Below are 25,598 nucleotides of genomic sequence, written 5' to 3'. Positions count from 1 at the left end.
TCTCATTAAACTTTGCTATAGAGGGTCTCAAAATTCTGTGGCAGATTTTTGGTCAAGTTGTTTCCATTAAAAAGTACCGATTTTAGAAACTAATAACCTAGCCAGGTGTGGGGACACGCACCTATAATCCCACCTACTTGGGAGGCTGAGGTGGGAGAATCGCTTGAGCCCATGAGGCAAAGTGTGCAGTAAGCTGAGGTTGTGCCACTGCACTCCAGCCTGGGTGACAGAGTGAGACCCCATCTCGAAAAACAAACAAACAACCTAGTAACTTAAAACTGCTGCATGAAAAAAAAAAATCCCAAATGGTCAACAAAACATTCTCCTTTCCTTCTGAAGGTTTTAATTGTTAACATTAACCAGTCTTTTACTATTAAACTTCAACGGCCAAATGAGACAAACAGTTCTGAGGTCATTCTTCTACCACTGATTAAGACTGTAGTGGCAGGTGTTAGGAACAATATTCACTTAGCCTTCTGAGCTTTCTGGGCAGACTTGGTGACCTTGCCAAGCCTTCTGGTCAGCAACCTTCTTGTTCCTGGCTTTGATGACACCCAGAGCGACTGTCTGTCTCATATCACAAACAGCAACATGACCCAGAGGAGGATAGTCAGAGGAGCTCTCAACACACATGGGCTTCCCAGGAACCACATTGATGATGGCAGCATCACCGGATTTCGAGAATTTAAGGCCTGCTTCTTACTAGAACGATGATCGATCTTTTCCTTCAGCTCAGCAAACTTGGAAGCAATGTGACCTGTGTGACTAGCAGCAGAGGGGTGTAGCTAGCACTGATTTGGCCTGGGTGGTGCAAGATAAACACTTCAGCAGTGAAGCCAGCTGCTCCCATTGGTGGGTCATTTTTGCTGTTACCAGCAATGTTGCCATTACAAAAATCTTTGACAGATGCGTTCTTAACACTGAAGCCCACATTTTCCCCAGGAAGAGCTTGCAACATGGTGCATTTCAACAGACTTTAGTTGTAACGTTGACTGGAGCAAAGGTGACCACCATGCTGGGTTTGAGAACACCAGTTTCCACTTAGCACATAGGGACCAATGCCACCAACTTTGTAGACATCTGGAGGGGCAGATGCAAGGGCTTGTCGGTTGGATGAGTTGGTGGTAGGACACAGTCCAGACCTTCAAGCAGCATGGTTCCATTGGCATTGCCATCTTCATGGGTGACTTTACATCCCTTGAACCAAGGCATGTTACTACTTGGCTCTAGCATATTGTCACCATTCCAACTGGAAATTGGTACAGCTGCTGCTGTGCTGGGGTTGTAGCCAATTTTCTTAATGTAAGAGCTGACTTTCTTAATGATTTTCTCATGTCTCTTCTGGCTGTAGAGGGGCTCTGTGGAATCCATTTTGTTAACACCAACAATTGGTTGTTTCATCCCCAGTGTGTAAGCACGAAGGGCATGTTCATGGGTCTGCCCATGGAGATATCGGCTTCAGATTCACCAACACCAACAGCAACAATCAGGATAGCACAGTCAGACTGAGATGTGCCTGTAATCATGTTTCTGATAAAGTCTCTGTCCTGAGCATCAATGACTCATGCAGTACTTGCTGGTCTCAAACTTCCACAGGGTGATGTGTCACACTCACACTCATCTTACCATTTATTCAAGACCCAAGCATACCTGAAAGAGCTCTTTCCCTTCTTAGCAGCCTCCTTCTCAAATTCATCGATGGTTCTTTGGTGATTTATATCATGTTTGTCGATCAGTTGGCAAGTAGCAGTGGACTTACCTGAATCTACGTGTCCAATAACGACGATATTGATATGAATCCTTTTCTTTCCCATTTTGGTTTTGATTTAGGGGTGGTTTTCATGACACCTGTGTTTTGGTGGCAAACCCGTTGTGAAAATGCCTTTTTTTTTCCAACATGAAACACCCATCTTTCTGTTCTGCATTTTTCCATTTAGTCCTTTCTATCTTTACAATTTTAAAACTTGGTAATTATAAAAGGTTATAAAGATGCAATATTTTCCAGGCACACTTTATGAAGAAAAGATCCTGAGGTGAAAGAATTGGCAATCCTGAGTTTCGGGCCTCTTTGGAGAGCCTGCACAGCAGTGGCATGACAGCACCTCCTGGTGGTAGGATTTGTGAAACGTTTACGGCGAACGTAGAAGCAAGGATTGAATTTGGTTGCCTGGAGAAATCATGAGTTCCACTCCTGCTGCAGCCTCACCCCTCACAAACCACCACATAGCCACACTCAGGCCCTTCTTCTCTCCCTTCAAACTCTCTGGTTCTGGCAGTCTTTGAGAGTCTGGCAAAAAAGCCTGTGTTCACGTTCAGTTTGATCACTGTGTCCAACTCCCCAAACCCAGGGAGAGAGGGGTCCTCAGTTTTTCATGGACCTGGCAGTGAAGCAAGGAGAGCAGAAGCAGTTTAGATGCACTTAACTGACATTTTAAAGCATCCAATTATTATGCAGGTATTTCCACCTGAGCTGTAGTAATCCCATCAAAGTGGGAGCAGAAAGGCACGAATTTCACAGAACTCTCTTCTCAGCTGAAGACAGAAACCAGGGGGCCTGAATACGAATGCTTTGCTGGCGCGCTCTGTCTGGTGAATTCAGATGCCACCTCCTCTGGGAGAAGCTCCACAATGCTTCTGCCCTCAGCCTGGGTTTGGTTTCCTTCTGTGCTCCCCAGCGCTCTGTGTTTCCGCCCCTGTTGTACAGAGCCCCTGGACCCTGCGCTGCCATCACCTGTCCATTTGTTTGTCCTCTCTTCAGGACGATAAACTTCCAAGGGCAAAGACCATGTGCCACTGTCTCTGTCCCCAGTTCCAGCACAGGCAGTGCTTCATAAATAGCAGCAGCTCTCATTTCCTGGGTCCTCTAGTGCCAGGCTCTGGGCTAGCTGCTTTCCATCATCTTTCCTAATGCTCCAAGGAGATGCTACTTTATTTGAACAGTGCTTGGCATAGAGTAACCTTCAGTAAACACTCACTGAATGAATGAACATATACCCATTTTACAGATTAAGAAGGTGAGGCTAGTAAATGGAAGTGCCTGGGTTTGAACTTAGGTCTGTCTGACTCCAAATCCAGTGCTCTGACCCATTACACAAATGCCCTTTGTTGGAGTAGTTATTTCCTTAGCATATTTGAAATGATTTATTTATGACATTTGATTTATACATCTATAATAGTATGTGAATCAAGGGTTACTTATATCACAATAAAGAGGTTTTTTTTGAGCCTTATTTATGCCTGGTTGAAATTAAGTCACAGAATCATTATAAAAGCATAACATTTTTAAAGTTTTAATGCATAAAAATAAATTCCATTTACCATAATACTTTATATTCATAAAAATGAATAATAAGGCTGAATCAAGCAAGTATGTGGTAGGAACTGTGCTGAGTGCTTTATGTACCTTGTGTTATTTACTCTTACCTGAACCTGTGAGGTGGATGTTGCTGTTACTCCCATTCATTTCACAGATGAAGCCTGAGAGATAAATGGTATATGGCAGAGGTGTGGCTAGACCCTAAGTCAGCCAAGGGCAAAACTGGCTCCTAACATTTGTGAACTGTTTCTGGTTCATGAAAGCTAAGATTACATGGTGCAAATCCAATCTCATCCTATTAAGGTGGCTTTCAGCTCTTGGGAATATGTTTACAAGCAGCTTATGATGTTCTTTGCTAATAAGTAATTTCTGAAGTGCAAATCCAGATGGTCTTAGCTGAATGTCAAGGCAGAACATTTAACTGTGTTCAGTTCAGTGTCTCGGTGTCTGAACCACAGATGTGAGGGTGCTCTCCTTGCCCTTGACTCTTTCTAAGGAGGTAAAGAGTTGCAGCCTGGCCCAGGAGTGCCATGCATAGCCCCGTCCCTCCCTGACTACTGACCACTCCTGGCTCATCCTCTGCTTCCCCTCCTATGGCTGTCCCCACACCCTGTGCAGGCTGCTTTCCTTTCAGCAGCTCAGGGTCAAGGGAGGGATGGCCAATTGTCTCAGGGAGGAAGACCTTGGATGGGAGGAGGTTCTACTTCAAAGGAAACCAAGAGGGTATATTTCAAAATGCCCAGGTTTCTTTTTCCTTCTAGGGTGTTCTTTAATATGGTTCTCAGGACAGAATGAGTTAACTACTTTTGCTCCCTCCCTTAATATTATCACCAAAAAACATTTCTGAGGAAAACAGTGCTAAATGCTATGGCATTGCAGAGCCCTGGATTTTGTGCACTAAGTTCGAAATCTCAGAGTCCACCTTGATTACCTTCCTCTTTTCTCCTCACACCTAAACCTGATGACTCCATCTCAAACATTCTCTGAAATTTGTCTTTTTTGAGCCCCAATTCTGCTGCCTGGGTGATGTTCATCATCTTATCTGGATTATGATGCCAGCTTTTATCTCTCTTTAGTTCCTGAATCCTCCTATTCACTTTCCACATCACTAGAACCATCATGCCTCTAAAAGTCCAAAGTAGCCATGCCATGTCTTGCTTGAAGTCCCCTGCTGTGCCCTGATGTCCTGAAGGTCTGGCTGCCTCTCAGTCTCACCACATCGTGTGGCGGCCCCTTCTGCAAATCTCTCCTCATTCACACTGAGCTTCTGCCACACAGTGCTCTGAGGTTCCCTGAGCATGTCAGCCTTTTCATGCCTGAAATGTGCTTCTCCTTCCTCACTGGAAGGCAAACTTCTGCTCATCCTCCAAAATCAGCCCATGTCACCTTCTCGAAGAAGTTTCCCCCCGCACTCCTTCTCCATCTCACACTTTCTGCATTATGAGGATCTGTTCCATGTGTTCACCCTAACCCATATGCTGATAGGAAAGGAACCATGTCTATTCGTTTTTTGTTCCATGTTTGAGATAGGCTTCAGCACAAAATAAGATACTGACTACATATATATATGTGTGTGTGTATATATATGTACACATATATAAAAGTAGATATGTGCATATGTAGATATATAAATGTGTGTGTGTGTATATATATATATTTTTGTTTTGTTTTGTTTTGTTTTGTTTTTTGTTTGAGACAGGGTCTGGCTCTGTTGCCCAGGCTAGAATGCAGTGGCATGATTATGGCTTACTGCAGCCTTGACCTCCTGGGCCCAAACGATCCTCCCACATCAGGCACCTGGAGTAGCTGGGACTGCAGGCATGCACAACCATGCCCAGCTAATTTTTTAATTTTTTTTTTTTGTAGAGGGGCGCTGGAGCAGGGAGTTCTCCCTATGTTGCCCAAGCTGGTCTTGAACTCCTGGGCTCAAGCAATCCTTCCACCTCAGCATCCCAAAGTGCTGAGATTACAGGCATGAGCCAACACTCCCAGCTAATTAAAAAAAAAAATCCTTTTACTAATTACTAGCCATGGAGCCCTGGGAAAATTAACCTTCTTGAGCTTCATTTTTCTCCTTCAGGGATAAAAATTCTTCTCAGATTTATGAGGAAGATTAGGTGAGATAATGCACATAAAAACACTTAGCACTTACTCACTGGGAAGAAAAAGAAGGAAAAGGAGGAAGAGGAGAGAAAGAAAAAAGAGAAGGAAAAGAAGAAAAAGAGGGGAGGGAAGAGGAAGAAGAACAAGAACAAGAAGAAGAAGCAGTTGCTACCATGGCTGCCCTTTGGTAATAAGGGACAAATGACAACTGTCTTGAGTTTTCTTGTTTTTGGCTCATACAAGTGACTGATCCTTTCTACTCTCTGAGCAGCTGTGTATGAGTGTTAGGTTTGCAGCTATAACAACAGTTACTATATGCTTATGTGGATAAGAAGAGTCCACACACCCTTTTTAACTATCAGATACCAGTATAGTACTGTATAGTAAAAGGAGTAGGAGGTAGAATCCCATGAGTTTTGCCAACAGGGAATCTAGGCAAAAAGCAGACAATATGAGTCAATATAAACTGTGTTCTAGAAAAAGCACTGTGACTTGGAGTGAGAAAACTTGGATTTGAGCTTCTGCCACTAAGAAACTGTATTCCTCTTGGCAAGCCACTTGTCCTCTCTGGGCCTTGGCTGTCCTGCCTCTGAAGGAGAGTTAAACAATCTCATAAACTTTTTGTGAGGATCAAATGAAACAATATAGGTGACAGCACTTTGTTAACTGAAAACACCAAGCAATAGAAGTTTCAATTATTGCCATAAGAAATTCAAGGTGAACTTCTGCAGTTAGAGGGAAGATTTGGAGCTGGCAGTAGTAGATAACATCAAAAAGGAATGTGAGCTCTTGTCTCAGAAGGGAGGAAACAGGATTTGAGGAGACAACAGAATGCTGCTGAAGGTTTGCCAGATGGCAAAGAGGGTGCAGTGAAACCTGGGCCCATCCCCTGAATGCCCTTCCTGTAACCATCATGGCATATTTTATACCTTGCACAAAGAGCAGTCTTACATCTTACAAGGGATTAAATTAAAACATAAGTAGTCAAAATCATTCTTAAATAGCCTATAAATCATCTGGAAACTGTGATATATACGGTTTTGTAATACATCCCTGTACAGTAATTTTTTATCACATTATAGTTTGAAGCAGCTGTACAGATGTCTCGGTGTTCAAATCATTCTCCCTTCAGGTAATTATCAAAGCTGTACAGTGAACAGGAGATAAATAGAGAATTCTGAAATGTTCCCGCTTGCCTGCAAGGTTTACCCTATTCTGTTTTTATTATCAAATCTTTATAATCTGGTACCTGTTCTTGATGCTGGTTAGTTGCTGTTGTGAGGGGTAGATAAAATAACATATTTGAAAGCATCTATTACAGAGCAATACACAATAAATGGCTGCAATGAGAATGAAAACTTGCTTCTCCAGAAGTACTAATATGAAGAACTTCCAAAAGTCGTTTCCTGTCCTTCCCTCAGTTTGGCATTTCGTGTGGTGACCCACAGGCCAGCTGTCACTCCTGATCTTGGGCATTGATCCCATCCCATCCCAAGTAGGGCGTGCGTGTGTGAGGGGAGGGTGTTAGTTCCTGCAGTCAGAACATGTGAGGCCATTGTATGGCTTTGGAGTGTTTTTTGGCATCTGTTTTGTTTTCTTTCTCCCTCCTTTGTTTTGGACATAGATTTATTTCAATTGACTTTAAATTCCTAGGGTAGTATTATTCACATAACAGAAAAAATAGAAAAATATGTTTACTGTGGCACTGATGTTGCTGGAATTAATAGAGGGCTCCTTGAAGAAAGACATAATCTGTAGCTTCACACACACACCCCTAGGTGGAGAGAGTGAGCTGTCAGGGGAAGAGCCTCAATGGGGGCGGGTTGTGGGGGCTCAGCCTGCTGGGATCTGAGTTTGATGCTCAAGCAAGCCAACCCCATGGTAGTGTAGCCCCAACAGTCCTCTCTGCATGATAAGAGGGCTTTTCACACAGTAAACTAAATGTATTTGGAAACCGCTGCACAAGGTATGAGGATGTTAGAGACCTTGTATTGCTTAACTATGAGAAAGATGGGGATATTTCATGTGGGACGTCTGTGAACAAACCAAGACCATGTATCACAGAGAACTAGGCCCCTTCACTTCCCCAGCCTGAAGCCTGTTCTTAAGATTCTTTAGGATCTCACAGTAAATGAATACGTAGAGGTTTGAGTTAATATATTGGTGTTCTACAGATTTTTTTTAGGCACAAATCCATTCTTCATGTGCAGAAAGACCCTATAGTTATATTTCCTGACTCTGTGGGATGTGCCAGTCACTGTCAGGCAGAGGGGCTGAGACGGTGAACAAAACAAAAATGCTCCAAGCCCCCTTGGAGGTTAAAGTCTAGTGCAGCTTTGCCTAACAGATCCATTTACCATGATGGAAATGTTCTAGATCTGTGCTATTCAATACAGTAGCTACAAACCCTATATGGCTACTGGGTACTTGAAATATGGCTAGTGTGATTAAGGAACTGAATTTTTAACTTTATTTCTATAAATGAATTTGAGTTTAAATAGCTCCATATGGCTGCTGGCTACTGGACTGAACAGTGCCGTCCTGGTCAGTGCAGGACAGGAGGATGTGTACTATGAAAGGCTAAGACTTGAAGTCAGAAGTCCTGAGTTTGAGCCCTGGCACTGTCCTCAACTAACAATGTGACTTTGAAGCTAGTTAAGCTTATTAAGCCTGCCTTGGCACAGAGTAATTACCTCTTGAGGTTACTATGAAGATTAAATTATAAATTTGTGGGATAAAGGTCTTTACAATCTACAAAGTACCATGAAAACATGAAATGTTATTTTAATGAGTCTATTAACATTAACATGAGAAACCTACAATGATTTCAATGTCATTTTCTGTACATTTGCACTTAAATGATTGTTTAATTATAGGCAATTTGGGGTATTAATGAAAGCCCTTGGGCCCAGTTAGTGGTTAATTATTCTTGTTTTCTATTATGAGATTTGTAATGAAAACTATTACTCTGTTTATTAATATTATTAGTTGCCTTGTGTTGCTGCTAATAAATATTTGGGTGCAAGTGATGACACAACAAATCTCTTCCTTCCCTCAGGCCAAAGGAGGCATCCGTCCTCTTTTAGTTATTTCTCCTGGGGTCTGTCAAAGGAGCAATTAGAGGTGAGAGCCTATGCAACTTTGCTGTATTCCACAACTCCATCTCTGCCTCAAAGGAGCACCGAGCCTGAGGCTTGCATAAGGATGAAGACATGGCATTGTGTGCAGTCTCCCCTTGGGCAATTTATCTGCCCATGCCCCTTGTGGTGACAGGTGGGCATTGCAGGGTGTGGCCTTACCCGTCGTGGAAGGGGTAGCCCCATGTACTATTGGCCATGAGGCATTTAGGACCCTTGTTGATTGAAATGGCTGAGATGATAAACGAGTATCCAGCTCCCAAGAATCCAACCACAGCAAATATCGTGGAGGTGAACATCTGAAAGAGAGGAAGAGAGACAGTCACATTCTCCAGGTGGTCCAGAGGATACACTCAACAAACCTAATCCACCTGCTGTTGAACATGGTGACTACAAGAAGTTATGGAGTAGGAGCTAGTCTTTATAGTAGATGGGGCCTGTGGGGTCTTCTAGAATGAATTTTGGTGTCTTCTTTTCCCTTCTTCACTCCCATTTCCATTTCTTTTTCACCTTTTCATTGATGACAGAGGTGTTGGTTCTGTTACCTTTGAGCCATGGCCTTTTAACCTTGTTAAAGATAAACTCTCCTCCCCAGGGCTGATATATAAAGCCAATCTATTATAGAATCAAAGAACCTTAGGATTGGCGTAATCTTTTTTTTTGAGACGGAGTTTCACCCTTGTCGCTCAGTCTGGAGTGCAATGGTGTGATCTCAGCTCACTGCAACCTTCACTTCCCAGGTTCAGGGGATTCTCCTGCCTCAGCCTCCTGAGTAGCTGGGGTTACAGGCGTGCGCCACCATGCCTGGCTACTTTTTTGTATTTTTAGTAGAGACAGGGTTTCACCATGTTGGCTAGGCTGGTCTTGAACTATTGACCTCAGTTGATTCGCCTGCCTTGGCCTCCCAAAGTGCTGGGATTACAGATGTGAGTCACCGCACCTGGCCTGGCAGTAATCTTAAGTTTTCTGGTCAAATTATCCTGCTAAGGCCAGTCACTGTGATGTCTCATGTGACAGGCAGGTTCTACTTATGAGAAAGAGTAAAAGTTTAGAACCCCTCCTCATTGGCCCTCATTATGTTCCTCGAGGCCAAAAAGATCAAGTCTAACCTGTCTTCCATTTGGCATCAGTCTTTAAAATATCTGAAGATTGCCTTGACATCTCTCACCCCTTCCACCCTCGGAGCATTTTCTCTTCTTTAAGTTAAACAATCAAAAAATTCCATTCTTTTAAATATTTTTCTATGATGGAGATTAATGAAAAACAGATTAGACTACCATATTTTGTTTTCAATTATAAAATCAAAATAGAATTATTGACTGCAAAAGGCAGAAGCAATCCTGGAACCCAGCTAGGTTAACTCCCTCTTACGGATGAAAAAATGTAGGCCCAGGATGTTAAGAACTTTTGCAATATCCATTCTAGACAGTAACTAGAAAGTAGAATGAAAACATTTAAAATTTTGGAAGAAGAGGCAGAAAACGATCACCTCTGTTGCTTTGATGACGAAGCACAGGGTTTAAAGTCAGCAGACCCAGACCCAGGCTCATATCTCAGCTTTGCTAGTCTTCTCTGTGTAATGACTTTGCATAATGAATGTGTCCTCAGAGCCTTAGTTTTATCATCTTAAAATGGGCATGATAGAGCCCACCTTAAATATCTGTTGTGAAAATTAGACGTGGCAGCTTAAGCTAAATGTCGGCTATTTTCCCTTTCCCCTTTCATGTTATTAACAATATTATCATAGTACATATCTGGGATGGGGTAAGGTTTGAAGGTGAAGAGGACCTGATCGTGCCTGGGTGATTGGAATCTATGTAATAATGGAGTTCTACTTTAGCTGGGATTCATTTTCATATCATATATCAATGTATTTTGGATGCAACTTTTAAAAAAAGTCTTTTTAATAGAAAATTTAACTCTTTTGCCAACTCATCTGATTGATGCAACGTTTTAATACCAAGCTCTATTCATGTGCTTTGTCTGACTCTCCTTGTAGAACTGACCCTTCATTCTTCATCTCTTCCAACCCCTGTACTCTAGATTGCACAAATTTCTATCACAGCACAATGCCTCTAATACAATAATGCATAGGTTTTTTTGTTTTTGTTTTTGTTTTTGTTTTTAGACAGGGTCTTGCCCTGTCACCCAGGCTGAGTGCAGTGGTGCAATCGTGGTTCACTGCAGCCTCAACTTCCTGGGCTCAAGTGATCCTCCCACCTCAGTCTCCTAAGGAGCTAGGACTACAGGCATGCACCACCATGCCCAACTAATGCTTAGCTTTTTATGGCTGTCTTCTCCAAATAGAGCACAAGTTCCTTGAAGTCACAGACAATAAGTTATTTGAAGATAGGGCATTTTTCCACACTTAGCATAGTTTTACAGTTTTCCTTCTTCCTAGCTTATCAAAGGCACTGGATAATGACTTGTTGCATGTTTTCAATGACTAAGGTTTCATATTACTAATTGTTTAGATTTTTCCCCTTATTGTTTATGTTTAGGGTATCTAAATCCACTCTCAGCATCCAGAACATTCATGACTTTAACCTAGGTCAGAAGTAAGTGAACATTTTGGTAAATTTCTCGTGTTAGAACAGGCAATCTCTTTTCCAAAGGATGTAAGGTTGAATAAGTTTGAGAATTGCTGGATTACATAACTAAGTTTCATTCCTGCTGCACTTCTAAAAATATAGTACTTATGAAACATGAATTTGTGTAAACTTCTGAGAAGGAAATCTACTACATATGCTGGAATATAAGGAAAATCATTCACTCTCACATTATTCCTCAGAAATGAAGGAATTACCTTAGAGTTGAGTCCTTATTTCATCTATCAGGTAATAATGTATTTCCTCAAACACTTTATTTTGAACAACCAAGTACTGCCTAGAGAAGACATCAGTCAGAAACAACTCAATCATTGTTAGATGACAGAATTGTGTTAAAAATTTTTTCTTAACACATATTTATTAATTATTATAAAAAGGTTGAACCCATAGTTCCTAGTTCTGGATATTATAGTTAACAAGGTATTCTAGGCCTTGTTATAGTTTAAAGGGTATTCTAGGCCTAGCGTGGTGGCTCACGACTGTAATCCCAGCACTTTGCGGGGCCGAGGCTGGTGGATCACGAGGTCAGGAGTTCCAGACCAGCCTGGCCAATATGGTGAAACCCCATCTCTATTAAAAATATATAAAAATTAGCCAGGCACAGTGGTGCATGCCTATTTTCCCAGTTACTCGGGAGGCCAAGGCAGAAGAATTGCTTGAACCCGGGAGGCGGAGGTGGCAGTGAGCTGAGATCACGCTACTGCACTCCAGCCTGGGCAACAGAACGAGACTCCGCCTCCAAAAAAAAAAAAAAAAAATTAGCGGGGTGTGGTGGCCCATGCCTGTAATCCCAGTTACTCAAGAGGCTGAGGCAGGAGAATCGCTTGAGCCCGAGAGGCAGAGGTTGCAGTGAGCCAAGATGGCACCACTACACTCCAGCCTGGGTGACAGAGCGAGAGTCCATCTCAAAAAAATAAAATAAATAAATAAATAAACAATTGCATTCTAAAATAAGCACACTTCTTGTTTATAATTGTGGAGATCATTAATATGTACCTGTAGGAGGAATGTTTGGACATTGTCTTTGTCTTATGAGAATTGATATTTGTGACTAAGGGTGAAATTTTCCCTGACAACATCATGCATAGACACATAAATGTTGTATTCAGACTCAAACGGAAAAGAAGATGTGCTGTGGGAGTCTTTTGATGGCTCAAAGTGTGTCTTTAGTAGTAGCAAAGACATTGATTAAAAGAAACATGAATATTTATTTATTTTAAAATAAACGGGCCCGGCACAGTGGCTCAAGCCTGTAATCCCAGCACTGTGGGAGGCTGAGGTGGGCATATCACTTGCGCCCAGGAGTTCAAGCCCAGCCTGGGCAACATGGCAAAACCTCATCTCTACAAAAGCTACAAAAATTAGCCAGGCATGGTAGTGTGCACCTGTAGTCCCAGCTACTCAGGAGGCTGAGGTGGGAGAATTGCTTCAGCATGGGACGCACGGGTTGCAGCGAGCCGAGATCACACCGCTGCACTCCAGTATGGGCGACAGAGTGAGACTCTGTCTCAAAATAGTAATATATAAATAAATGGGAGAAATGTCAGTTCACAATCAATATATTAAAATTATTTCATATTTTATATAACATGATTTAAAATATGTTTATGTCACTGAAAGTTTATATATTATTGTTGGCTAAGGAGCTTTTTTGAAGTTTCTTTATGGGAAAATAAGACATGCTTTTATGTTCAGATTTGCCTTATACCTGCAGTTCAGTATACATGGTACTTGCAGTTTTCCATTCTTATTGGATCCTATAAGTTTTTGGTTTTTTTTTTTTTCCTGTGACTCCTTGTAAGAAAACACTTTGGAAAATACTGCTACAATTCTTTTTTTTGTTATAGTTGATTTTAAATAGAGATGGGGTCTCACTGTGTTGCCCAGGCTGGTCTCGAACTCCTGGTCTCAAGCCATCCTCCTTCCTTGGCCTCCCAAAATACTGGGATTACAGTACTGGGATTACTGAGCCATCATACCTGGCCTACAATTCTTACTGAGAGTTTATATGGCTGGTTTTCTGTTTCTTAGCCGCCTCCATGCTCCAACCAAATTTCTGTTCAGTTAGATACAGCTAGTATAACTCTAGGACGAGAGCAAGAGAAATCTTACACTTAGGGCAGTTTCTTCTAATGCTACCTACCACCCTTTCAGAAATAGGTTCTGAGTGGTCTGGAAACATTTGTTGACATATGGCAGATTGAGTTGTCTTCATGAAAGTCCAGGTTGTCACAGAGAAAAACAGATTCTATGAAGGAGGGGGGTCTTGGCACATTTTATGGATAAATCACAGGAAGAAAGATACATGCTGCGTCATGTTGCTTTAAGTTATTTCACATTGGGAAGTCTTAAAAATGATAAATTCTCTAGAATAAATTCTTAGAGATATGATCAGTCAAAAAGCCAGCATAGAATAACTTCAATTTATCATGGGTTTCATGACACAAAATGTTAAAAGAAAGAAAGGCCGGGCTTGGTGGCTCATGCCTGTAATCCCAGCACTTTGGGAGGCCAAAGCTGGCAGACCGCTTGAGCCCAGGAGTTCGAGACCAGCCTGGCCAAAATGGTGAAATTCCATCTCTACAAGAAATACAAAAATTAGTGAGGGGTGGTGGTGTGTGCTTGTAGTCCTAGCTACTCAGGAGGCTGAGGTGGGAGGATTGCTTGAGCCCAGGAGGCAGAGGTTGCAGTGAGCTGAGATTGCACCACTGCACTTCAGCCTGGGCAACAGAGCCAGACCCTGTCTAGAAAAAAAGAAAAGAAAGATTCTTGAGACCAAGTTGAGTACATTAGAGGGTAGACACTTCAAAATTGGTATTATTTACAGTAAATAGGCAAAAGTCCTGGGATATCTCTGGAAGGAGACAGTAATTGAGAATAGTGGGGACCTCTGAGGAGGGAAGTTGGCAGACTTTGGAATCAGATAAGGGAGTCTTCCTTTGCGGTTTTTGTGCTATGGGCATACTCTACCTGGTCTAAGTGAATAAATGGTGAAGAAGGACACTACTGTGTTGTTGTCAAAGGTATGGATTACAGGCAGATGGATCTGGATCTGAGTTCTGGTTCCTCCCTCATGATCTTGGGAAGTTAATCTTTTTTATTCCAGTTCTTCTTCTGTAAAATAAGGCTCATTAATAAGTACCTGCCTTACAGATAATATGTAAGATAGCCTAATTAGTAAAGGCACACACCTCTCGAAAATCAGATCATCCCCACGTGGGATAGGCTGCTAGTAATCCCCAGTGCCTCACTGATAGGACACCTAGAATTATTTTTCCTGTTCCCAAGGTTTGGATAATTTCCCATGACATTAACAAGCACTTGATCAATGTCATTATTATATTATAGTATTTTTGTTATCATATCCTCACACACACTTACTTTCCACAAATACAGAGAGCATAACTCTGGAGAGAAAAAATTCAACGGGCTAATTCCCTCGCAGCTGCTCAGTGCACATATTCTGCTCACATGGTTAAAGAAATGTATATAGCATACACTGCAAATGTTTCCCTTGAAAGAGTAGATAAGAAGGCCTGAGATCATATGTCCTCTAACTCACCAATTGCCAGCTTGAAGATCTCCCTTTCTGTTGGGCTCTGGAGACAGACAGGTACCATCAGATCCCAGCTGTCTCCACACATGGTGTGTCCTGGGGTCATGTAGGTGCTTATGTTGGCCAAAGCATGTCCTTAGGGCATGGACATTCCTCCTTAGTAAGGAGGAATAGAGATTACCTGAAGTGTTTTTTCTTCTTAAAAATTAATATCCTCTATTTTTTGCCTGTGCTAGGCTTGGGAAGGGAGTGGGGGAAGTGGCAGTCAGAAACTTAACTTGCAGTAGCCCCAGTTTCCTCATTTATAAAATGAGGAGTTTAATGCTGAATTCACAGGGTTATTGTGAGGATTGAGTGTGATAAATATGGAAGCCCGTTTCCTCTCCTAGGTGTTCACTTACTTCATCCATCCAGCAAGTACTTATTGAGGATCTATGTGTCCTCCATACCCTAGGCACTTAGTTGGTACTTCCCTTACACCAAATGCTTGCAAAATCTTCCCCTAGAACTTACAACATCCTTATGAGAGACAGTAACTGCCAGGATCCATTTTGTAGCAGAGGATTTTGAAGCATAGAAAATATTTACTGAAGATGCCGGCGTGGTGGCTCACTACTGTAATCCCAGCACTTTGGGAGGCTAAGGCAGGCAGATCAAGAGGTCAGAAGTTTGAGACCAGCCTGGCCAACATAGTGAAATGCAGTCTCTACTAAAAATACAAAAAATTAGCTGGGCGTGGTGGCCGGCGCCTGTAATCCCAGCTACCCGGGAGGCTGAGACAGGAGAATCGCGTGAATCCAGGAGGCGGAGGTTGCAGCGAGCCGAGATCGCGCCAACCTCTTGCACACCAGCCCGGGCAACAGTGCAAGACTCTGTCTCAAAATATAAATAAATAAAAATAAAATAAAATATGTAGAAGTAGAATAAAAATAGGAGCTTAGGGAGAAAACATCTGGAAAAAAGAAGAAATAAAATTCCATACTTTATTTTTTTTTCTTTCAATATATTCCATTTCTCTAAAGGAAATGTCTTTCTAAAATATTCCTCAAGTTGGCTGTCATTCCAAGGAATGAGGAGGTAGATTAGGGATGCTTTTGGCCTGCAGGACCTCTGCAAGAGGGAGTCCCCAGAAACGCTCACTCAGGAGGTGTCTCTAGGGGGCACTGATGAGCCAGGCACGGGAAGAAGTGCTGACCACAACACACAGACCGCATTAGGACCTGACCAAGACCTTTCTTCAAAACAGGGAGGTTGATCATCTGGCCCTGCCTGTGGGTGGGGCGGGCCTTGATCTATCTAATATGCTTTAAGGATGGTGAAATACATGCCTACCCAACACATATCCTCATCAGTCTACCTTTGGTCTCATTATTAAAGACACTCCTTTGAGTCAAATCCAAGATTTACAAAAGGCTCTTAATAAAATACGTACTTAACATAAACGAGTTGACAAAATTAATTTGCTCCCCCACTGCGCCCCAAGAGATCCATTTTTTAGAAGGATTAGAGGGCAAGAGATGCTGACCAGCCACCGACATGCTGCCAAGAAGCCACTGGGAATCTCGGGTTTGGGAGGAAGAAGCTGTGACCTGAAAACAAACCCAGGCCGGGGTTCTTACTATTTTTGCTCCAGGGCTCACTTTTCCCGGCTCTCCTTTAGCCTAATTTATTTGAAAGAGCGCAGGCCTTTGGAGCTCAGCTTCAGTCTTGCTCTGCCTCAGAGGAGAGCCATTTTCTCGGCTTTACCAAGAAACTATGAATCAGGTGATCCAAGATTCTTTCCAGCTTATTGTCTTGCTTTATCTCTGCAGCCACCACATCCTGCTTCTCCTATCTCCTACTTGGTTTTGCTACCCGAGGAAAGGGAAGAGAATGGTGCAGTTGGCCTCTGGGGAATGTTCCAGAAAGATATAATGCAGATGAGAGAAGAGAGAGAGGAACCGGGAAAATAAATGACAGAAAGCAGACTGTAGAGAGGACAGAGGATTCAGCCCAGCAGCTGGTGGCCCAGTCTGTGTCTGCCTCACAGGCCTTTCCACCTGCAGGGCTTCCTATGCAATGCTCCCTATTGCAGTGCTCCACAGAAGCCCCGTGTCCCCGAAGGAGCTGGGGCCTGGAGGGGAATGCGTGAGCCTTTGGAAAATAATTCAGAACTTCAGCAGTTTAGTTCTCCCCAAATTAGTCTGCAGTTTTTGCTTCTTGTCTGACAAAATGCAAATACCTCATTTTGGAGAAATGATTAGCCAGGTGAGGTGGTGAGCACCTGTAGCACCAGCTACTCAGGAGGCTGAGTGGGGAGGATTGCTTGAGTTCAGGAGTTCCAGAAGTTTGGGACCAACCTGGGCAACATAGTGAGACCCCCCAATAACCTCAAAAAAAAAAAAAAGAAAAGAAAAGAAAAAGAAATGATTATTGTTTGATGCTCCAAAGCCTTAGAACATAACATTAAGCAAACAAGAGTCTGAAGCAGGGGGCATGAGCTCAATGGTCTTAGGGGCAGGGAAGGGACCCTAACTGAGTAGAGCAGCCAGGGTGGGCCCTGTGGAGCTCAGCCAGGCCCAGTGAAGGGTGCTGTTGTGCCAAAATGCAGGCTAGGGGTGCCAGATTAATTTTTTATTTCTTGGGGAAAAAATGTTCTCTCTCTGAATTTTTAAAAATTGGGAGCTGATTAAAAAACAGAACAATCGGCCAGGCGCAGTGGCTCACGCCTGTAATCCCAGCACTTTGGGAGGTTAAGGCAGGCAGATCACCTGAGGTCAGGAGTTCGAGACCAGCCTGGCCAACATGGTGAAACCCCGTCTCTAACAAAAATACAAAAAAAATTAGCCGAGCATGGTGGCAAGCACTTGTAATCCCAGCTACTCGGGAGGCTAAGGCAGGAGAATTGCTTGTACCCAAGAGGTGGAGGTTGCAGTGAGCTGAGATTGCATCATCTCACTCCAGCCTGCTGGGGGACAAGAGCGAGACTTCGCCTCAAAAAAACAAAATAGAACAAAACAAAAAAATCAAAGACAAGAAATCCTTCTGCTGGCTACCCAGCATGTGGTCGACCCTGGCCCAGGGCAGCCGTGCTAGGTGCCTTGGTTTACAATCTGGCACAGCTGGTCCTTTGATGGACACTGCCTCATGATTTGGATGGTCAGTTGGTCATTTGGAGGAGTTATCCTCAATTCATGCCAAGGGCAGGTTCCACATGGAGGCTTAGACAGCCCCCACAGACAACCTATATTGGGAAGCCCAAATATTTCAGATCCTATTGACTCAAAATTTTTTTTAATGAAATGTGCTTATAAAAACATTTTTTTTCCGGCCAGGTGTAGTGGCTCATGACTGTAATGCCAGCACTTTGGGATGACGAGGTGGGTGGATCACCTGAGGCTGGGAGTTCCAGACCAGCCTGGCTAACATGGAGAAACAGCATCTCTACTAAAAATACAAAATTAGCTGGGCATGGTGGCACATGGCTGTAATCCCAGCTACTTGGGAGGCTGAGGCAGGAGAATCGCTTGAACCCAAGAGGCAGAGGTTGCAGTGAGCCGAGATCGCGCCATTGCGCTCCAGCCTGGGCAACAAGAGCTAAACTCCATCTCAAACAAACAACAACAACAAAAAGACAAACTTTTTTTGCCTTCATCTTGGATTTCATTTACATCTGATTTTAAAAACCAAGTTTTGTGTAATACTTAGAATGCTATCTCACTTCTCACTGTGGTTATATGTAAACCTAAAAACAAAAATCAAGCAAACAAAAGATCCCTTATTTTTATATTAGCCAGTCTTTAGCCTTTTACTCAGCACCAGGTGTGAAATTTTAGATTTCTAAAATAAATGACTCTTCTTTCTTTTCATCCTATTTTCTTAATAGCTAATTAAAAAAAAAATCCTCATCTCCAACTTCTATCCCCCAAAAGTTCACAACATATAATGGGATTATAATTCAAGGGGAAAATAAGTTATAAATACCTTCTTTTCCTTTATAATTACATAAAATATCCTTTGTTATATAAAACGTATATTACATGATTATATTAAATTGTGGGTTTTTTAAAAAGAACTCTTTGTAAATGATGATTTTAAATGTTAACATAACAATCATCAATACTTTTTTGGGACTCATGATGTTATATTTTCTTTGACCTTTGAACTCACATGGAAACTGTAATGTATGCACATTGGAGCAGCCTCAGCCTTTCACATGTGCTCAATATTTTTTGATTGAATAAATGAACAAATAATGCTAAGAAAGAAATGTTAAAAGGATCCTGTTTCAGAATGGATAGATGCACCTTTCCCTTTAGGAAGTTAAAGTAAATGTGGTTAATTCATTATTGTGGTTCATGAATCTTTTAGGTGGACATGTGAACCATGGGAGATTACAGGAGAAACTGATCTTCCTCATTTTTCAGACCAGTAATTCCAGTTCTACTATGCTTCATTTCTGCCTCATCAATATATCTAACTCTTAATATTTTTTGTCAGCTCTCATTGTGTTCATTTATATCACTATATGAATGAAAAATTAGAATCATTGGCAGATAGAAACACAATATAGTTGCATTTTAGTTAAACAACGTTGCATTCATTCCTGGAGCCTAAGACTTGTCCTCTCTTTGTTAGAAAGGGAGATTATAAAGGGTAAAAAATAGTAAAGACGACTGGGCACAGTGCCTCACACCTGTAATCCCAGCACTTTGGGAGGCTCAGGTGGGCGGATTGCTTGAGTCCGGGAGTTTGAGACCAGCCTAGGAAACATGCCCAAACTCTGTCTCTACTAAAAATACAAAAAATCAGCTGCGTGGGGTGGCACACTTGTACTCCCAGCTACTTGGAAGGCTGAGGTGGGAGAATCACTTGAGCCCAGAAGTTCAAGCCTGCTGTGAGCCAAGATCTAGCCTGGGCAAACAGAGTGAGACCCTGTCTCAAAAAAAAAAAAAAAAACAAAAACAAAAACAAAAAAAAACAGAAAAGAAAAAAGAAAGACTTATGTCTACCAAAATAAGATCTTTTTCTTGATAGATTGATAGATTCAAAAGGATTGAAGGAGAATTGAATGGGAATGACATTCTATGTTGTGGAAAGATATAGCACATCTGTGTAGCACCAGAGCTTGTCCCATACTTGAGAAATTCTGGTCTAGTCCAGCTTCCTGCTTTATACATGAGCAAAGGGAGGCAGAGCAGTAGAATGACTTGCTCAATTGCAGAATGGGTCCTGTCCCCATGTCCCAGCATTCTTTCCACTGCACTCTGGAACTTTGATGCCTAACGTCTCTAGTTCAAGATCGATGGCCGCATGAAACAAGAGAGGAAACAGAAGTCCTGAAGCAGAGCCTGGTGGAAGCCAGAGGCGCTGGGCCTCAGAAATAGAGAACATGGAAGTGGTGTGAGTGAGGAACCTAGAAGCCTACTGGGGAGGGGAGGATACCATCTTTTGTCCTGTCCCAAGTCCCCTTTGCAGATGAGGCAATTCAGGGCCAGAAAAGGGAAATGACTTGTCCAAGTTCTTATGGCCTCTCAGTGGCAGAGGAATGCTGCAGCTTCATCTCTGCCTTCCAGGCTTGCATTCTGTATATGGGACCCCTCTGAATCTCCAGTTCTGACATCCCTGTCGGTTTGTAAAATCTAATACAATATTCATACCCTATAAGTATGAGGGCTATGGTATTTTGGAAAATTATTATTATTTCACACTGGCAGGAAAAATCACAGTTTTATCCCTTCACCAGCTGCTCCCAGAGTCCTGGCTGGAGCTGATAACTTGTCTCCATCCCCATGCTGCCCAGCACAAAAGCACAGAGCACCCTGGAGTAATTCTAGTAGCTGCCCCCCATGGTAACTCACCGCAAATCGCTTCCCACAGCCCTCGTTGCCGCAGCACCCACAGCAGTCATTGTTCTTCAGGCCCAAGAACACCAGCGCAGGGAAGATCATCTACCAGGAGAAGAGGCACCTCAGAGAGAGTCCAGGAGTTGAAGGGAGGGCCCGAGCCTGCCTGACTGTATAAGGAGCCCCATCCACAATGAGGGATTTGGAGGCCCAAAGGGAATGGCAAAGTAACAGAGCATGGCTGGAGGGGTAATGGAGTGTTATGGAGTACTTAGATTCCATTTGGGCTGACTAACCAGCTTCAATGAGGCAAGATTTCAAAATCTGAGTTTCCATTTAGATGGTGTGTTAGAAAAAAGAATAACAAACTTTTCCTCAATTGTCATGAAGAGTGAGTCTCTCTCCCTTTCACTCTCTCAAACGGAGGTTCCCAATTCTATTGGAAACCAGAGGTAAAGAAATCATTAGGTCCTAAGTGGAAGACGACCACACTGACAACAGCTTCTCATGGTGGTTTTAAGTCAATTTGCTTTTCTAGTGGGTTTGCATCGTGGGTTTGTTGTTGTTATTGTTTTGGGCACTATCTTGTTGGAATCAAGAAACTATGCGACCTTCACTTCGGTTCATGGGACTCAAATGACCCATGAGAACTGTCAGCCCAAGCTTAGAGATTAATTACTTAGTAAATTTAGCTGACGTGTCCTTGTCAGATCCTAACAGAAACGAGAAAAAAATTAAGGCATTGACCTCTCACCATGCAATGCTTGAGCTTCTATTACCAACTAAATATCTCCCTGTTCAATAAGTACCTGATTTAAAAAGGATTGTGGGGAAGGGAAAATCTCCCTTAGGGGGATTTTAAGCTTCCCTACTCACCAAGACACCGCTTCCTAATATTCCTCCGAAAAACCAGATCTCTTGGGAAAGGTGGTCGTTGTCATCTATCACTTTTCCTCCAGGAAAAAATAACAGGATGTTAGCCAGGAAGCCAAAAAAAGCAAGGGGAATGAGGGTCCCCCCCAGGCATCTGGCACAGCCCCCAGTGCACATTCTGGGGTGGTACGACACAGGTCAGCAATCAAAAGCTCCTCACTGCCTCCTTCACGGGGCCTCTTCAAGGGTTTTTGGCCAGAGAGTCCTTGTAATTGTCTCCAATTCAATCAGTATTTTGGGGCTGAGAACCAAATTTCTGTGAACTGTGTCCTTGGAGTTGCTTCAGCTTCTCAAAAATAGCAGAACCTCGATGGCAATGGACATTTATACATTCTCCCTGACCTGAAGTGCTTTGTTTTTTGCACCCCCATAAATGAGATTACGTTCAGAGCAATCATTCAATCGTTTTGCCATGGAGACCAATAACCTCTGTTAATAATCCACCAGCACAGACAAGACACTCACATTGTTGCAATCGAAGACAGGGCTGGAACAAACAGCATTTAGAACCACTGCACCTTTAATCTGACAGTGCCCATGCCCAAATAAAGAAATATTTTCTCCAGACTCTTTATAAATCACTAATATAATTGAGTTACATCCTGGTTAAAATCATGTCTCCCAAGTACTTAATGGTGTACAGTGCGTGTCTTTGTCTTTTCCACTGAAAGCCTGGAATTCAGGGTTATCCAAAAGAGCTTCTGTTTTCCTCAATATCAAAATAATTTGATGGTCTAGTTGTGTATCATTGAGCTCAGACTTAAAAGAATTGTTTAAGGCAAAAAGCTACTGTTCATTTTATTGTCTGATTGCTGTGTTTCTCTACTTGTTACGCAATTAAGTAATTAAGTTCTATCTTTTCCCTACACGATGTGATGGAATTAGCAAAAACAGTTTTCCTAATCAACTTTCTCAGCTATGTCTTCCATATAGGAATAAAGAAACCATCATCCACTAAGGCTAAGGGGAAAGGAAGGTCAGCATTGGTAGAGAGGGAGAGAAAAGGTCCTGATGAGTTGACTGGGGAGAAGACACAGTTGGAAGAGCAGTTATAGAGTGCAGGAGGCAGTAAAACACACCCCTATTAGAAAGTTTGCCAACTGCCAGGGGCATGATTCATTCATTTGCTTTGTGTCACTTAAGAAGTTCTCTGCCACGCCTGGACCAAGCTCTACATTATGCGATGGCCCTGCCTGGTACTGGTATTACATAACAGCTGAAGGATTAAGAGGTGGAACTGGAAGTCTTACTAGTTCTTCATTGAGAATCTAGAGGTTAAAATAGGTCGAATATTTTAGGGAGTCAAATTTTAGCTAAATAAAAAGCAAGTGACATTATTACCATGGTAAGACCTGTCCTACCGTGGAATAGGCCACCTGCTCACAAGGAAGCCATGGACTGGGCTTTGCCAAGGCTCAGAGGCCCTTGGAAAGGGAAGCTGTGGGAAGGATTCCAGAAAAGTCAGACTGGAAAAATGTTGAGGCTCCTTCTAAAATTTCTAAGAAATGAGTACTGGTTGCTTTATAAAGATACTTAGAAATCTCAGGGTCAGGATGAGAAAGAAAGCAGAAAAACAGCAAATGTTTATTGAGCCATGCATAATACTCCAAGCACGAATGAGCACCTTAAATGTTCTTCACCCTTCTGTGAAGAAGGTGTCATGCCCCCTTCACAAGTGGGGATGCTTCTGCTCAAAGTGATTTTTGCAAGCTCATCTCAGCATAAGAAGAAGAGCTAAGATTTTATTTTTTATTTATACATACTATTTTACACATTTATGGGGTACGTGTGATATTTTACATGTGTAGAATATGTAGTGATTAAGCCAGGGTATTTGGGGGTATCCATCACTGAATATTGATCATTTCTATGTGCTGGGAACAATTTAAGTCCTCTCTTCTAGCTACTTTGCAATCTATAATACATTATCACTAACCATGGTCACTTTACTGTAATGTCAAACAACAGAGGTTATCCCTTTGGCTAACTGTATGTTCATACCCATTAGCCTACCTCCTCTCCAGCTCTGTGTTGCCAAAACCCAGGCTATGTTCTCTCTCATAGATTTTCCTTTTTGAAAACAAACAAACAACAAAACATCATCTTTTAAATATAAACAATAGAATGACACTGTGTGTGAGGTATATGCACACAGTAGGAGACCCTTCTGAACACAACAACAAACTGTGATTTTATTCCTTATTACAAAATAATGTGACTTTTTTTGGTAGAAAAATTGGATATACAGACAAGCAAAAGGAAGAAAAAGAAAACCAGCTGTGTTTCCACCAGAAGCAAACAAGGGCTGTCATCACTGTGCTGACAGCTGTTTTCCAACACTCCAGGCAGGTGCAAATGAACTTTATTTATAACCCACTGGCTTCTGACAGGGAGTCTTGAGCATATGAACTCTAAAGGCAACAGTCCTGGGGGTGAGTGGATTGGGTTAATCAAATGCATATGCTACTTAGAGCTAGGCAGCTTCTCTCTGGGGACTGGGCAGCTTTCTCCTTTCTCCCTGGACTACACCGTTTGCTTCTAGAAGTTACCATCATGGCATTTGACCAACACTAGCCCTGTTGTCCTAGATTTTTCAGATGCACAACTGGAGTTACCCATGTATACTGTCTGAGTGACTAGATGAAAGTAAGAAATATTGTGGACCACACTTCAGTTTTCTTTCAAGCCTGAGGTAACTTATTTCCTGGGTAGAGGAAGAGAAACACTGAAAAACAGTCACTTTCCTGGAATGCCCTGACCACTTCAGACTTCAAACACTTGGATAGTGACTAACTCATTAATTGTTCAATTATTAATTGTGCCTTCAGACCTCCAGGCAAGAAGTAGAATATCTAATCTGGAGAGAGGGAATCGTGGGGGGGATGGGAACCTTGGTGAAATTCACTCTCTGGAAGTGTAGCAGGGAGGTCACCAACAGACTGCTTTGGGGGCAAGGGAAAATTGTGTGAGATTCTGGGAATCATTTTTGTGATACTCCTACTTGATAGTTTATTGCTTATTCTGTTCCTCTGGGTGTTTAGCAGTGAAGGCTTTAAACCAAAAAGGCTAACTCCCTTGTTTTCAGAAACAGCAAGAAGGAAGTGGCTGAGGACACTAAGCCCCATTCTGTCACTAGCCTTCTATGGAGACTTCAGAAGTGAGAGCAAATAGTAGCCCTGGAAGGGATAGAAAGACAGGAGGGATCCTTGGGGGAAGAAAAGGAGAAGAATGTGAATATGGGCACTATCTCCATGGACCTCACCGGATGTGAGGTTTGACCATACGGGACTAAGCAGCAGGAAGTCTAGGGGTTCCTTCCAGTGATGCAGGAAGTCAATTCCTCAGCTAACAAGCACAGGAGCAGAAGACATTCACCCTGAAATGGGTGAAGAGCTGTCAATTCAGTGCAATCGATAAGTGTATTGTTACATGCATGGTATGTCCACCAATGTGCCAAATACTGTCCTTGTGAATAAAATAAATCTAAGACTTGCTTTCTGCCCTCAATGATGTTACAACCTTCTACTTGTGACAAGAGACAAGAGAAGCCATACACAGAGGTTAAATGAGTAACTGCCCCTTAGCAGAAGAACAAGACATGGCTTCTTCTGCTTGTCTTAAAGCAGAGCATTCTCATCTATTCACACAGAATATCAGGAAGAAGACAGGGGTCTCCACACATTTGCATTCAAATAAAATTCAGGTCTTCATCTTTGCTTACCTGGATGATGAAAATAGATTGTTAAAAGTGATTTTCCAAAGGAGGAAAAAAATAATAGAAAATATTAGTGGGCATTGCATGTAATAAGAGCCATTTTATGAAATTTTTGTTATGTGTGCATAGATGTTAGGTAATAATGCAACATGTTTTGCTTACTATAGGTCTTCAATCAAAAAATAAAGATCAAATCAGGTAGTGAAAGTTAGTGATCTTTATAAAGTGAGAACTAGTGATCTCTATAAATGCTAAACTGATATTACATTTTTGCTGAAAGCCTTCAGGAGGCTTCCATGGCCCTCAGATCTTAAACTTAGTCCTCCCTGATTTGTCTTCCAGCCAGATCAGCCCTCCTGTCTTCCTGCTTCCTGCTCTGCCCGCTTCTCCTGCTTTCCTGCTAC

The 25,598-nt window shown here is 42.3% G+C and overlaps 1 protein-coding gene and 1 pseudogene across 1 annotated transcript in view, besides 4 other annotated features; both read right to left on the bottom strand.

Moving 5' to 3' along the window:
* TM4SF4 (transmembrane 4 L six family member 4) overlaps window positions 1–21,777 on the bottom strand; it is a 28,698-nt gene extending 6,921 nt beyond the window's left edge. Inside the window, exons 1-3 of the mRNA NM_004617.4 lie at window positions 21,423–21,777; window positions 20,562–20,651; window positions 8,719–8,855 (exon numbers count right to left, since the gene is read on the bottom strand). Coding sequence (NP_004608.1) covers window positions 8,719–8,855; window positions 20,562–20,651; window positions 21,423–21,596 — 401 coding nt within the window. The 5' untranslated portion in view covers window positions 21,597–21,777. The remainder of the gene's footprint in view (window positions 1–8,718; window positions 8,856–20,561; window positions 20,652–21,422) is intronic.
* EEF1A1P45 (eukaryotic translation elongation factor 1 alpha 1 pseudogene 45) lies at window positions 471–1,814 on the bottom strand (annotated as a pseudogene).
* Window positions 2,030–2,179: a silencer, noted in NCBI's record as "silent region_14804". NCBI's record gives its function as "represses an Ori minimal core promoter by ATAC-STARR-seq in GM12878 lymphoblastoid cells {active_cell/tissue: GM12878}" and the evidence as "EXISTENCE:reporter gene assay evidence [ECO:0000049][PMID:35858748]".
* Window positions 6,818–7,112: a silencer, noted in NCBI's record as "tiled region #15242; K562 Repressive non-DNase unmatched - State 13:Ctcf". NCBI's record gives its function as "represses a minimal TATA promoter and a strong SV40 promoter by Sharpr-MPRA in K562 cells {active_cell/tissue: K562}" and the evidence as "EXISTENCE:reporter gene assay evidence [ECO:0000049][PMID:27701403]".
* Window positions 8,740–8,789: a silencer, noted in NCBI's record as "silent region_14803". NCBI's record gives its function as "represses an Ori minimal core promoter by ATAC-STARR-seq in GM12878 lymphoblastoid cells {active_cell/tissue: GM12878}" and the evidence as "EXISTENCE:reporter gene assay evidence [ECO:0000049][PMID:35858748]".
* Window positions 15,778–16,072: an enhancer, noted in NCBI's record as "tiled region #13408; K562 Activating DNase matched - State 12:CtcfO". NCBI's record gives its function as "activates a minimal TATA promoter and a strong SV40 promoter by Sharpr-MPRA in K562 cells {active_cell/tissue: K562}" and the evidence as "EXISTENCE:reporter gene assay evidence [ECO:0000049][PMID:27701403]".
* Window positions 21,778–25,598: the final 3,821 nt, after the last annotated feature.

This window comes from Homo sapiens, chromosome 3 (genome assembly GCF_000001405.40).
Source record: "Homo sapiens chromosome 3, GRCh38.p14 Primary Assembly".
NCBI lineage: Eukaryota > Metazoa > Chordata > Mammalia > Primates > Hominidae > Homo > Homo sapiens.
Note: the sequence above shows the minus strand (reverse complement) of the source record. Positions and strands in the feature narration are given on the sequence as shown.